Source organism: Homo sapiens, chromosome 12 (genome assembly GCF_000001405.40).
Source record: "Homo sapiens chromosome 12, GRCh38.p14 Primary Assembly".
NCBI classification, from domain to species: Eukaryota; Metazoa; Chordata; class Mammalia; order Primates; family Hominidae; genus Homo; species Homo sapiens.
This window is the reverse complement of record NC_000012.12, coordinates 79827866-79843228: the sequence shown is the minus strand read 5'-3', so window position 1 is coordinate 79843228 and position 15363 is coordinate 79827866. Positions and strand designations below refer to the sequence as shown.

The 15363-nt window shown below is 37.1% G+C and overlaps 1 protein-coding gene across 5 annotated transcripts in view; it reads left to right on the top strand.

The window, feature by feature from the left end:
- Nucleotides 1-15363, top strand: part of PPP1R12A (protein phosphatase 1 regulatory subunit 12A) — a 161898-nt gene that overhangs the window by 92232 nt on the left and 54303 nt on the right. For all 5 annotated transcript variants that reach the window (NM_001244992.1, NM_001244990.2, NM_001143885.2 and 2 more), the window contains 2 exons: nt 10738-10897; nt 14765-14909. In NM_001244992.1, the coding sequence (NP_001231921.1) occupies nt 10738-10897; nt 14765-14909 (305 nt within the window). The remainder of the gene's footprint in view (nt 1-10737; nt 10898-14764; nt 14910-15363) is intronic.

Genomic DNA, 15363 nt, shown 5'->3' with positions numbered 1-15363 from the left:
CAAATTATTCATATTAGCCAAAAGATGAAAGCAAACCAAGTGTCATTGATGGATGAATAAATAAAATGTGAAATATATATACAGTGAAATATTATTCAGCCTTAAGGAAGGAAATCAAACATACGCTACAGCATGGAGGACTTTATGGTAAGTGACATAAGCCAGTGATCAAAAAAAACCAAAAACAAATGATTCTACATATATGAGGTACCTAGAATAGTCAAATTCATAGAGAAAATAGAATGATGGCTGCCAGGGGCTGGAAGGAGGGGAGAAAAGGGAGTTGTTTTTTAATGGCAGAGTTTTTCTTTTGCAAGATGAAAAAAGCTGTGTAGATATGTTACACAACAATGTGAATGTACTTAAGAACTGTACACTTAAAAATAGTTAAGACCTGTAATCCCAGCTAAGGGGGGAGGATCGCTTTAGCTCGTGTGTTCCAGGCTGCAGTGATCTGATCACATCACTGTGCTCCAGCCTGGGTGACAGAGTGAGACCCTTTCTGAAAACAAAAAAAAAAGTTAAGATGGTAAATTTTATTTTTATGTTTATTTTACTACAATTAAAAATTTATGTATGTGTGATTACTTCTGCAGTACCTTTGGGCAGGACTCACACACACACACACACACACACACACACACACACACACAAAGTGCCACATGTGATTTTTGTTATAGTCCATTAGGCAGTGATCAAACAGGTATTATTAGAGCTGTGTTTTACTGAGGTCAAATGATAGAGGAATGGTATGAAATATTGATGTAGAGGGCCAACTCCTGCTGAAATGTGCTTCATCAGAAAATAGAAACTAAGGATTAGAAAGGAATAGAAGGTAAATAAATTCCATGAAAGGAGATTTTTATTCCTTGGGATTAGGAAAATTCCTAATGACTGCGGGTTTGTTTTGTTTTGTTTTCGTTTGTTTTGAGACAGACTGGAGTGCAGTGACACAATCATGGCTCACTATAGCCTCAACCTCCCAGACCCTAGCGATCCTCCCACCTTAGCCTCTTGAGGAGCTGGGACTGTAGGCGCATGCCACCTCACCTGGCTAATTTTTGTATTTTAAGTAGAGATGCAGTTTTACTGTGTTGGTCAGGCTGATCTTGAACTCTTGAACTCAAGCAGTCCACCTATCTTGGCCTCCCAAAGTTCTGATATTACAGGCATGAGCGACCGCATCTAGCCAACTGTGGGTTTGTTTAAAAAAAAAACTATCTTAAGCATGAAAACTGAGAAAATAAATACCTAAAATAGAATTGAGGTGTTATAAAAAGTGATTAAATATAACTAGAGCCTAAAAAAAACAAGAAATGCAATAGAAAAGTGGTTATAAACTGGAGCCTGAATAAACACACAGAAGAGCTTTCAACAGCCATGTTCTAGACAAGTGTTTTAGAGTCATAGGATCTTCTAGAATTGAGTAAACTAAAGAATAAGTATAAAGCATCACAACCTAGCAAGAACTTCCCTGCCCATTTTGCTGTGATGAGTGCTCAGATAACAGTTTCCTGTCAAACAATGGTAATTCTTTAAAGTAAACATTTAAGGCTCCTATTTTTTATCTGATATTAGCAGTTGTTATGAACTAGAAAAGGCATGGAGTTGTACTGAAAATTTCTTGCATTTGGTTTCCTTCTGTATAAGGGAAATTGCTAGCGTAACTGTAAGCGGGGCTGATTTTAGTTTTAATGATTCATTTAGAACTGATTAATGTGCCAGCAAATGTTCTATGTGCTGGGTGTTAACAATAAAAAAAGCAAGACAATCCTTCTTAAGGATTTCACAGTCTAGCAGAAGTGTCAAACGAAGAGCTTCACAATACAGTGTGCTATGTATTAAAATATATAGGAACAGAATGTTGTGAGAGAATAGAAAAAGCTGTAGTGAGGAAAGGTTTCAGAGTGATGACATTTAGAGGGAGTTGGCTTGGCAAAGAAAGGAACTGGTGGACAGAAAAGGCGGGGTATCAAAATGTGAAAGAAAAGGAGTTGGAAGGCCAAGCACAGTGGCTCTTGCCTATAATTCCATTGCTTTGGGGGGCTGAGATGAGAGGCTTGCTTGACGCCAGGAGTACAAGGTTACTGTAAGCTACGATTGTATCACTGCACTCCAGCCTGGACAACAGAGTGAGACCTTGTCTCTCTCTCTCTCTCTTTTTTTTTTTTTTTTTTAAATAAAAAGGAATTGGAGACATACATAGCATATGTGGACTGGAAGACAGACACATTCATTGGGACTGGAATTGAGATTCAAAGTCAGGGCGGGATTTGTAGGAGATGAGGCCTGAAAAGATAGGTCAGAGCCAGATAGTGAAGGATATCTATTTTTGTAGACATTGGATAGATGCAGCAAATATCTCCAAGCAATAAATTAATTTGATTGGATTTGGTTTTTAGTATAAAGCTGATGGCAACTTGGAGGATGAAATAGAATGTAGGATATATGGTGACACGCATTCCTTGAAGAAGATTCTCAAATTAGTCCAGGTGAAAGATGATAAGAGCCAAAACCTGTTACATTTGAAATGAAGAACAAGGCTGTCTTGAGGAAATATTGAAGTAAAATTAGAACAGTTTGGTAAAGAATTGAATGCAGATATGAAGGAAGAATTAAGCCTAACTTACTAAAGTTTCCAGTTGAAGAAGTGATGATTAGATGAGTTCATGTAGGAAAGTGTGAGATAAGACAGAACCAGACTGAGGGACTTCATGAGTATATATTGGGTTTGTAGTACTAAAGGACATCTAGATGACAGTGGTTGGTGCATTGTTAGAACTTAGGATATGTAAAGATGTGAAAAGTAAATCTAGGAGAACCATAAGGAGGGGGAGTTCTGGGAACTAGTAGATGAGATGACCCTGGAGACGAAAAGCTAAGTGCTAACAATGATAATAGTAGTAATGACAATAGCTAACTGTTATTAAATGCTTATTATATGCCAGGCATTGAGCCAAGAGCTTCACATGCATTTCTTCATTTCATCCTCATAGCAGTTCTGTGAGGTTTATACTACTGTTACCCCATTTCCAGATGAGAAAATTGAGGCTTAGTGATTTACCCAAGATCATACAGGTAGGAAGTGGTAGTGCTATAGGTCTGTCCTAAACAGTAAGACAGATATCTTGAGCCCACATTCTGTACCACTGTACCATACTGCATTTTATTTAAAATGTCTCCCTAGAAAATACTTCATGATGTTCATTTGATACATATAATGGGAATGCATAAATTTATATAGCATATCTTAATTCCAAAGAAACAAAAGTATAGGGGCATCTCTAACAGATTTTAATAATTATAAAAAAGCACCCTAAATATATCTCTAGTTGTATTAGTCCATTCTCATGATGCTATGAAGAAATACCCAAGACTGGGTAATTTGTAAAGGAAAGAGGTTTAATTGACTTATAGTTCCACAGGGCTGGGGAGGCCTCAGGAAACTTACAGTCATGCAGTCATGACAGAAGAGAAAGCAAACACATCAGGAAACTTACAATCATGCAGTCATGACAGATGGGAAGGCAAACATATCCTTCTTCACACGGTGGCAGGAGAGAGAAGTGCCAAGCAAAGACCCTTTTAAAACCGTCAGATCTCGTGGGAACTCACTCACTATCACAAGAACAGCAGCACTGGGGGTAACTGCCCCCATGATTCAGTTACCTCACACGGAGTCCCTCCCACGACTTGTGGGGATTGTGGGAACTACAATTCAAGATGAGATTTGGGTGGGAAACAGACAAATCATATCATCCCACTCCTGGCCCCTTCCAAATCTCACGTCCTCACATTTCATAACACAATCATACCTTCCCAGCAGTCCCCCAGAGTCTTAACTCATTCCAACATTAACCCAAAAGTCCAAGTCCAAAGTCTCATCTGAGGCAAGGTAAGTCCCTTCTGCCTGTGAGCCTGTAAAATTGAAAGCAAGTTAATTACTTCCTAGACACAGTGAGGGTACAAGCATTGGGTGAATATACCTGTTCCAGATGGGAGAAATTGGCCAAAACAAAGAGGCTATAAGCCCCATGGAAGTGTGAAATCCAGTAGGGCTGTTATTAAACATTAAAGTTCCAAAATGATGTCCTTTGACTTCATGTCTCACATCCAGGTCATGCTGATGTAAGAGGTGGGCTCCCACAGCCTTGGACAGCTCTGCCTCTGTAGCTTTGCAGGGTACAGCCCCACTCCTGGCTTCTTTCATGGGCCAGTGTTGAGTGTCTCTGTCTTTTCTAGGCACACAGTGCAAGGTGTCAGTGGATCTGTCATTCTGGGGTCTGGAAGACGGTGGCCCTCTTCTCATGGCTGCGCTAGGCAGTACCCCAGTGGGGATTCTGTGTGGGGTCTCTGACCTCACATTTCCCTTCCACACTGCCCTAGCAGAAGTTCTCCATGAGGGCTCTACCTCTGCAGCAGACTTCTGCCTGGACATCCAGGCCTTTCCATACACCCTCTGAAATCTAGGCAGAGCTTCCCAAACCTCAGTTCTTGACTTCTGCACACCCATAGTCCCAACACCACATGGAAGCCACAAAGGCTTGGGGCTTGCATCCTCTGAAGCGATGGCCTGAGTTGTACATTGGCCCCTTTTAGCTAGGGCTGGAGTAGCTGGGACACAGGGCACCAAGTCCCAAGGCTGCACACAGCAAGGGGGCCCTGGACCCGGCCCATGAAACCATTTTTCCCTCCCAGGCCTCCAGGCCTGTGATGGGAAGGGCTGCCTTGAAAGTCTTTGACATGCCCTGGGGACCTTTTCCCCTTTGTCTTGGCAATTAACATTTGGTTACTCGTTACTTATGCAAATTTCTGCAGCCAGCTTTAATTTCTCCCCAGAAAATTGGGTTTTCTTTCACATTATCAGGCTGCAAATTTTTCATACTTTTATGCTCTGCTTCCTTTTGAACACTTTGCTGCTTAGAAATTTCTTTCATCAGATACCCTAAATTACCTCCCTCAAGTTCAGAGTTCCACAGATCTCTAGGGCAGGGGCAGAATGCCACTGGTCTCTTTGCCAAAGCATAAAAAGAGTGACCTTTGCTTTAGTTCCCAACAAGTTTCTCATCTCCATCTGAGACCAACTCAGCCTAGACTTCATTGTCCATATCACTATCAGCATTTTGGTCAAAGCCATTCAGTAAGTCTCTAGGAAGTTCCAAACTTTCCTACATCTTCCTGTCTTCCTCTGAGCCCTCTAAACTGTTCCAGCCTCTGCCTGTTACCCAGTTTCAAAATTGCTTCCACATTTTTTGGGTATCTTTACAACTGTGCCCCACTACCCGATACCAAATTACTGTATTAGTCCATTCTCATGCTGCTATGAAAAAGTACCCGAGAGTGGGTAATTTATAAAGGAAAGAGGTTTGACTCACAGTTCCACATGGCTGGGGGTCCTCAGGAAACTTACAATCATAGTGGAAGGGGAAGCACAATCATAGTGGAAGGAGAAGCAAACACGTCCTTCTTCACATGGCGGCTGGAGAGAGACATGCTGAACAAAGAGGAAAAAGCCTCTTAAACCATAAGATCTTGTGAGAACTCACTCACTATCACAAGAACAGTAGCATGGGGGTAATCGTCCCCATGATTTAGTTACCTCCCACTGGGTCCTTCCCACCACATGTAGGGATTATGGGAACTACAATTCAAGATGAGATTTGGGTGAGAACACAGCCAAACCATATCATTAGTAGTGGTAACATTTCTCAAATTATCTAGGTATGAAAATTATTGTTTAATATTTTTAAGTTTTTTAATCATTCTTTTGGCTTTTCTTATTCCAGTACATTTGATCAATAACTAGTTATGCTTAAATAAATTGCCTTTGAAAGTAGTAATAATTGAACAGTAGCTGTAATTATTTTCTTTATTTATCTAGGGACACATTAATTTTTGAATCTGTTGCTGACTAAATTCCAATCTAATTTTATTTATTTTAATCTAAGAGATTTGATTATATTTTAATATTTACTGCTCTTAAATCATAGTGACAGATGTTAGTCTAATCACTTTGTTATACCCAATTTAGTTTTATTATATATTATTTTCATTGTTTAAAAACCTTGCAATTATAGTAGGTGGGTTAAGGACCAGTTAAATGCATTATAAGATTTTTTTCTTTTAAAACAGAAATCAAGAAAAGAGAAGCAGAATCATAGACTTTTCAAACTGATAATGATAATTAACACCTTAGTGTTTATCCCTGATCTAAAACACTTTATATGTATTAATTAATTTAGTTTTCAGAACAACCATATGGGATAGATATTGGCATCACTCCCATCTTACAAATGAAACCAGAGCATAGCATAGATTGTCTACCCTGAGGGAGTACAGCTAGTAAGTGGTGGATCAGAGATTCAAATCCAGCCAGTCTCGGTTCAGTATCTGTTTTCTTAACCTATCTTACTAATATCCAAAGAAGCTATGGCTTTCTCAGGATCACTGGCTAGTTAGTCAAAGCACTGAACTTAGAAAGCAAGTCTCCTAATACATAGTACAATTAGATTTTTTTTTCTTCAAGTTTTTGATGAGCTAAGCACGGTCTACATACTCTAATCGGTAGTATTTTAAAAATTTAAGAACAAGAGAAAGGTTTTTCTTTTCTAATTTAATTTTCTTAAACATAAGGAATTGCCCTTCACGTTAACTTTACACTTGGATTGTTTTTATATGTGAATCAGATGTGAGCACGATTTGGAAGCTAAAGAGGGTAATTGCTTTGTCATTAGATAAAGATAGCATGAAATTAGATAAATATAAAAGAAGTAGGTTTTTTTTAACTTGAAGTTCAAAGGAAACAGAATAGTAAAAGACAATAAAAATCAGAACGTTTAAGATTGTAATGAAAGGAGGGATAAAAATAATAAAAAGCTACCTGTTTTAAAAGACAGTAAGAGAGTAACATTAAAAAAGCAAATCTAAGATAAATCACTTAATAGAAAGGTTACTAACATTAGGCATATCTTAAATGGGCTGATTATCTTTTGGTGGGAAATTTTTGATACAAGTAAAACTGCTTTACTATAGAAATGGTGGCATTTGATTTTTATAAAAATCATAATAGGTTGTGTTCATTCCATATATAGTTTATACAATTTATTGTTTTCATAAGGTCTATTTGGAAAATCTTGTTCAAGTTTCCTTCAAATGCGGTAATGAGATATTATAATCTCTAGTTTGAAGATGACTTTTTCTATACATGTGTAATCTTGGAGTTTTAAAAATATTTCTGAATTATTGTCTGCTTTTTAAAAGCTGAGCTTCAGTTGAGTAATGAGCAGTTTAGTTGTCTTGGAAAAAATGGTAATGTGCTAATAAGCAGGCAAAATAAAAATACAATTCAGGTAGAGGATAGTAGCTGGCATGACAGCAGAGACCATGATGTACTTGGGGACCTATGTGGAGGTCTAGATGGTTAGAACACTAGATGATGGTAAGGGAGAAAGACTATAGATGAAGTTAAAAATGCACTGAGACCAAGTCATAAAAGGCTTTCTCTTGTATACTAAAGAGCTTGAGCTTTGTCTTACAGAAGCAGCCATTGACAAATTTTATATAAAGCAATGACATCATGTTTTATTTTTTCCAGTCCAGCAGTAGATTGAGGGATGAATTAGAAGGGACTAAAGACGGAATGAGTTAAGGGCTGGTAGCAGTAGTCAAAGTGTGAGACATAAGCTATGAACTAGCATAGTGATAGGGGCCATTTAGAAGACAGTCTAGAAGTGGCAACTCCAAATCTGGTAACTAATAGGATGGTGTATTAGTCAGGCTTCTCCATAGAGACAGAACCTGTAGGATATACGGAAGGGGATTTATTAGGAGCAACTGACACAGAATCACTGCAAAGTCCCACAATAGGTCACCTGCAAAATGAAGAACCAGAGAAGCTGGTAATCTGGCTGGCTCAAAGCCAGTAGCGTGTTTCAGTCCAAGTTCAAAGCCCTAGAAGCTGGGAAACTGACACTGCAGTGCCTGTCACGCCTGACAGCTCCCCAAGGAGCCACTGGTGCAAGTCCCAGAGTCCAAAAGTTGAAGAACCTGTAGTCTGATATCCAAAAGCAGGAGGAAAAAAGGTATCCTCCTCCTGAAGGGAGAGAGCAAGCAGAAAGAGCAAATCCTCCTTTTTCAGCCCATTTCTCCCAGGTGATTGGATTGTGCCTGTGCACATTGACGATGGGTCTTCCTCTCCCAGGCCACTGACTCCCATGTCACTTTCCTCTGGAAACACCCTCAACTGCACCCAGGGACAGTGCTTCACCAGCCATCTAGGAATCTCTCAATCCAGTTAAGTTGACACAATTAACAATCACAGATGGGGTGAGAGTAAGGTAAAGGGAGAAATTCAGATGACTTTCAGGTTGCTAGGTAATTGAGGGCACTTAGTGTAGGAAAACAAGACAGGCAGCAAATAGAATGGTTGGGGAAAAATTTGGTTAAGATTTTAGCATTGAGTTTGAGATGCCCATGGCATATTATTTTATTATTTCCCTAGTTCTCTCTCCTACAGGCTTAGATATGCAACTGATTACTTGATATCTCTGACTAGATATTTGTTAGGCATCTTAAACTTCACATTTCCGAAATTGAAGCTTTAATTTTTTCAATTGCTCAGACTGAAAACCTCTGATTGATTCTCGACCTCTCTTTTTCTTCTGTATCCAAACTAACAGCAAATTCTCTTGGTAAGCCTTGAAAAACCCAGAATTCAACCACTTTACTGTCTGCACTGCTACCACCCTTGTTCAAGTTACCATAATTGCTTGCCTAGATTATTGCAGTAGCCTCCAAGTGGGTATCTCAGTATCTACTCAACTTTTCATCCTAAGTGATCCTCTTAAGTCAGATCGTGTCACCACGCTCATTGTCCTTACTACTCTGTAGAGACCCTGTCCTTCTAAACAGAACATTCCTAGCAGGCTCCCACTTCAGAGCCTACTGGTACTTCCCTCTGCCTGGAATGTTTTCCCAGTAGTATGGCTGTCACTCACTTTATTTCTTGTAATGTCATCAAAGAAGCTATTTTTTACCAACCTATTTAAAATAACATCCCTTCTCATTACCCTTTCTGTTTCCTTTCCTTGCTTTATTTTTCTTCACAAATGAATCATCTTCTGCCATATAATAAGTTCACATCTATACCTGTAGCATCTAACAATGTACCTGGCAAAATAGTAGGTGCTCAGTATATATTAAATGTATGGATGGATGAATGAAAAATCTTGTCCAAACAGTTGTATACATGGATATGGATTATAGGAGAATCTTAGCTGAGGAAATGTGTGTGTGTGTGTTCTTGTTTTATATTTGTTCATTCATTGTTCATTTAGTGAACATTTACTGATCTCCCTGTACTTTGCTTTTTTTTTTTTTTTTTCCTTTTCTTTGAGGCAAAGTCTCACTCCGTTGCCCAGGCTGGAGTGCAGTGGCGTGATCTTGGCTTACTGCATCCTCCATCTCCTGGACTTAAGTAGTTCTCCTGACTCAGCCTCCCAAGTAGCTGGGACTACAGGCACCTGCCACTATGCCTGGCTAATTTTTTTTTTTTTTTTTGTATTTTTAGTAGAGACGGGGTGTCACCATTTTGGCCAGGCTGGTCTTGAACTGCTGACCTCAAATGATCTGCCCATCTCACCCTCTCAAAGTGCTTGAATTACAAGTGTGAGCCAACGCACCTGGCTCTGATCTCCCTTTGCTTTGTATCAGGTATTCTACCAGACAGTGGGGATAAAAGATAAAAAGGCCTATAGACTTGTGGAGTAAGGCAGATTGTAAATGCATTGCGGTGTGTGCTGTTTATTAAATAGCAAGTAGTCAAAGCCATAAGACCAGATGAAATCATTCAGGAATTTCAAGAGTATCTTTCTTTAATTTTTTTTCCAAGGTGTTGAGCTCTTTGAAGGTAGGAATTAGAGGGTCCTATTCATTTTTGTATTCTTCCCTTTTTTTGTTTTTTGAGACAGGGTGTTGCTCTCACCCAGGCTGTAATGCAGTGGCATGATCATTGCTCGCTGCAGCCTTGACCTCCTGGCTCAAGCGATCCTTCCACATCAGCCTCCCAAGTAGCTGGGATTATAGGTGTGAGCCACCTCGCCTGGCCTCTTTCCACTTTTATCACCTCAACCTAGGGTAGTGCTTAGAGTAAGTGCTTTTAAATGAATGAACATTTATATAACTTACTAAAATTATGAAAATAACTTTAATGGTATGAAGAATGTGTACTATGTTGGAAAAGGAAATGAAGGGAGTTTGCTAGAGAAATAATCTATTTTAAGGTATGATATATTTTAGATGAAGACAGGACCTCCAAGTTGAAGCATTCAGTAAACATTTGTACCTGCTAGGCTAGATTTCATAGAACAGATCAAAACAGTAGATAGAAATTTGAGACTTATTCATTATAATTGTTAAAAAAAAAATTTAGCCCAAAGGATGCTTATACCTTAGGAAATGTTCAAATTTTTAAAAAACAAGAAGAATAATCAGAAAGGAAAAATAAGATCAAAATAGTATTGTGAAGCAAAAACCAAGTAATAAGTAGAAAAAGTTAATACAAGGTCTACAATATCCCCACATTTTTTAGTTTAACCAACTTGTTATAAGCAGCCCATTTTAAAAAGACATACTTTCACTTTTAATTTTATTTAAACTTGACATGTTTTGGATAGTTTTATTTCCCAACATGGAACAATTTTTAAGCAAAAATAAAAAGAACTATTTTTATTTTATCAGGGGTTGATATAGAAGCAGCTCGAAAGGAAGAAGAACGGATCATGCTTAGAGATGCCAGGCAGTGGCTAAATAGTGGTCATATAAATGATGTCCGGCATGCAAAATCTGGAGGTACAGCACTTCACGTTGCAGCTGCTAAAGGCTATACGGAAGTTTTAAAGTAAGTATTGTTTTTTACAGAGTTTTTCTATTTTAGTTTGTCTTCTTTATTCATTGTTCCTTTTCTTAAAATACCTGCAAACGTTATTTTGAAGCAACATAAAAGAGTTCTTTAATGCCTGTTTTCAGGAAGAAAGAGAAAAACTACTTTGAATATGATTGCTTTTGTTCTAAAATTCTTTCAACTCTCTAATTATTACTATTTTTTAATCAGTTGTGATTTTCCAGTAAGTTGAATTTAAGTGTCAGTCACCTATTCTCTGTGACCTTTTGGCCTAATAAATCACTACAGAGAGTCATTTTGAGGTTCCAGATTGATAACTGGTTTGTGAGTCTTAAGAACAATGTCCTGTGAACATACCATCAGTTTTGAGAGCTTGATTCCTGCAGAATATTTATTTACATGTAACTTATCTTAAATACAGTTTTCTTTTTTACTACATGAACACTGGAACTTAGTACTATTAGCACACTATAAAATATTAAGCCATAAGCAACTTTGACTCTACAGGGCTGTATATTGTTTAGCAAATTTGCTTGGAACAAAGCTTCTTTATGTTGCAATAATATTTTTACTTCTGCAATGCAAATATTGGCAACTATATGAAGAAAATTATTCTGTGTATTATTCAATATATAAAATTATTCTTATATGTATGTGAAAGGAAGACCAGCACTTAGCAAAATCTACTGCACCTTTTATTAATATATTGCTTCTAATTCACTTGAGCTTCTAATATCAATCTTTCTTATTCCCACTCATTAGTAAAAGCAGTAAAGAATATATGAGTCACCTTTCCCAAGTTTCCTCCTCTTGGGTGACAGAGGCTCAGGCAGTCCTCCCACCTCAGCCTCTCTAGTAGCTGGGACTACAAGCATGTGCCACTACGCCCACTTAATTTTCATATTTTTTGTAGAGACAAGGTTCCACCATGTTTCCCAGGCTGGTCTTGAACTCCTGGGCTCAAGTGATCTGCCTGCCTCAGCCTCCCAAAGTGTTGGGATTACAGACTTGAGCCATCACCACCCAGCCTCCTCTTTTCAATCTCTATTCAACTTCAATAATTTAGGCCTTTTTCCTAAGAATAGTATGGCAGTGTTGCCTTTTTATTAGTTTTCTTGTCCACCTGTTTCTCTCTAATCCAAAACTTTTGTGAGTTGCCAACAGCATTTTTTTTTTTGAGAATAGAAAGTATTAAAGAGTATTACATAAAGGTAAGAATTGTTTCTTAAAGCACTTGTTTCTGTAAATATGTATATGAGTACTGAGTTATATTGCAAAATAGTTTCTGGATGGCTTCCAAATGATCTTTTTAATTAGGTTATCCAAGCTCCCAAAATCCTTTATTAGTTCTTAGGGGGGATCAGGATAAATTTTAAACTCCTTAACTTAGTACATAGATTCTTCATTATCTAGACACTGTCTTCCCTTTTAAGCTAAGCTACCACCATTGCCTCTAAAGTATGAATTGTGCCAGTTACATATATCTATTGAAGTTCTGTCATGATGTCTTAATGCCTTCCCTTGTTTCTGTCTGGATGCTTTTATTCACCATCTCTTCAACTTGGAGGCAAATTCTGCTCTATCCTTTGAATCAGTTAAAGGTCCTTAAGCATATGAAAAAAAGTGCTCAACTTCATTCATAATTAAGTGCAAATAAAGCTACAATGAGTTACACTTTTACATCTGTCGAGTGGCAAAGATCAAAACATTTGACATCCTGTTGACAGGGTGTAGGAAAAGGCACTCTTACTAGTAGAAATGACAATTGAGCAAATTCAATCAAAGTAACAGTTATTCTTTAGTTCCCTGATTCTACCTCTAGGAATTTGTTTTTTTACAGATATTCCCACTCACATGGGAAGTAAGATACGTGCTAGCAGCATTGTTTATAATAGGAATAAGAGAATGTTTTAATAAATTATGGTATATGCTTTCACTGGCATATTCTGAAACAAAACAAGAATGAGAAATCTCCTTACATACTGTTATAGAAAGAACACTAGGGTATATTATGAAATGTCAAAATCAAGGATCCAAGTATGTATCATTTGTATTTATTGTAAAAAAAATTAAAATTGTATTTGCTTATATATGCATGAAATCATTGTGTAAGGATCCAATAAAAATTAATAGTATGGTTATTTTGAGGTAGGGCAAGCTAGTTGGCTAAAAGTCAGCGGTGAGAGAGTGATGTCCCTATGTATCCTTTCATTCTTTTTTTTTTTAACTTTGTGAACATATTACTTATGAAAGTTAAAACATATATGAAATAAAAATCAATAGAAAAGATGTTTCAAATGTAACCTTCTTCACATTTTCTCTCCCTCCCAAACACACACAACTCCTTTCAATTTGATTTTGATGCTTTTCAGTTTTGTACTCCCATTGCATGTCTATTCATAGAACCTATGCTTGAGAGTTGGTTGTTGTTTCACTTCCAGTAAAAGCTCCTTGAATATAGATACTGTCTTTTTTTATGTTGAAAAAATTTACCTCTTTTTTTCTCGCCACACAGACTTCTAAGTACTTAAAAATGTTGCTCAGCATATTTAACATTATTATTGTTCATATTTCCTAATGGGGAACAGCGTTTTTCTCTTACATTCCAGTATTGTTTCTGCCTCTATTAATAAGGTTTCTGATAATATATATCAGTGGAGATATTTCTTTGGACTTATATCTTTCAGCTTTTCTTTAGATAATGGCTCTTAAATGTTGGTCTGCAGGCAGGTGATAGGCAATGATATGAAAATCATATGGGGGACTTATTAAGAATATAGATCAGCAGGGCCCATCTCTCCATATGCTGATTGAGTAGTACTGGGGTGAGCTGGGCAATCTATTTTTAAAAAACAAGCCCTTCAGATGGTTCCGTTACGGAGGCAGGATTAGAAACAGCTGTATTAGATATTGTTAGGAAATACCAGATTTGTTCTTAAATAAATAAAGGGGGATTATACATTAGCTGTCACTACCACCTCCTGTAGGTAAAAAGAAGGTCCTTCTCAAGCTCAACATCTTGGAAAGTGAGGTAAAGGTTAACTAGATTTCATGAGTTGTATTTAGTGTTCGTTCACCTGTTTGTGTGGGGCTATGCTATGTGCAGTTTATAGACCCATCCTTGCTGTCTGTGAGCTTAATGTCTAAATAAAATAAAGGTTGTTGTCAATATGTAGTTAGAAGGGCATACTAACATAATTTATGCAACTCTTTGCATTGTATTAAAATGTGTTTCTGTTTTAGCTTGTTGATGACTGGAGTATCTGCTTTCTACTGCTCAGAAAAATAGATCCGACTCCTTGGAATATGTTTTTTGCTTTGTTTTGTTCTTAAAAGATTGTCATTTTCCTTTGAAAATTTTCAGCTCCTTAATTTCAAGGCAACAGAAATATTACAAAACAAGTTTCTTTGATTCCAGTGTATTCTTAGAACACATTTAGCCCGAGATTATATATTATATGGAAACCTGAAGATGATAGTTCCTGCAATAAATCAGTTTTACATACAAAGTGATTCATCAGTTTTCGATTTTACATTGAAAAATTATGGGCTTTTCTGTGAAAATTTCACTTACAAGTCATATTAACAAGAATTAATCAGTGTCACACCAAACCATAAGACTTAGAGTCATTAGGAATTAATTAAAACTGCATTATTATGGCAATGACTCAAGATCCTCTTTTTCTGAGTTTTTTCTGAGAATTACTTTGTATTTGCCATAGTTAATTCATTGAGGGGGAAGGATGTAAATTCTGAAAAGAAATTAATTGAAAATTGTAGTTAAATTGCATGATAGATAGCTTTTGATCATGATCATTTATTTCTAGATTTTAATGATTGTCTAATTCACTGTAATTTCTTTAGACTTTTAATACAGGCAGGCTATGATGTTAATATTAAAGACTATGATGGCTGGACACCTCTTCATGCTGCAGCTCATTGGGGTAAAGAAGAAGCATGTCGAATTTTAGTGGACAATCTGTGTGATATGGAGATGGTCAACAAAGTGGTAGGCGTTTTAAACGTATTTTAATACTTTAACTTTTAGAAATATAGTTTTAGAAAGTATATTTAGAAATATAGTCTCAAAAGGTTATAAGGATTACATTATATAATTATATTTTTATTAACTGTATAAAACATTTTTTCAGCCAACTGACTTACTAATTAATGGTTTAAGTCTTTTCAGCTACCGTATGAGGTGGTTCTGGCCTTGTACTGCAAAGAAAGAAGTATTGCTCTTTCAGTAATCAGATTGCCATACATGTAGAGTAGATTTGGATACTTGCATTAATACTATGTTCTTAGGAATTCAGAAGCTAAGAAAACGTTGCATTCCTATGTGAATGTTTTCTGCCACCCCTTTGAGTTGGAACACACGTAGAAGTGCGTTTCTAATTCTTTAGCTGATGGTCTTTTAGCTTGCTTATAGAATTCTTTAAGTGACATGAATAATGAGGTCT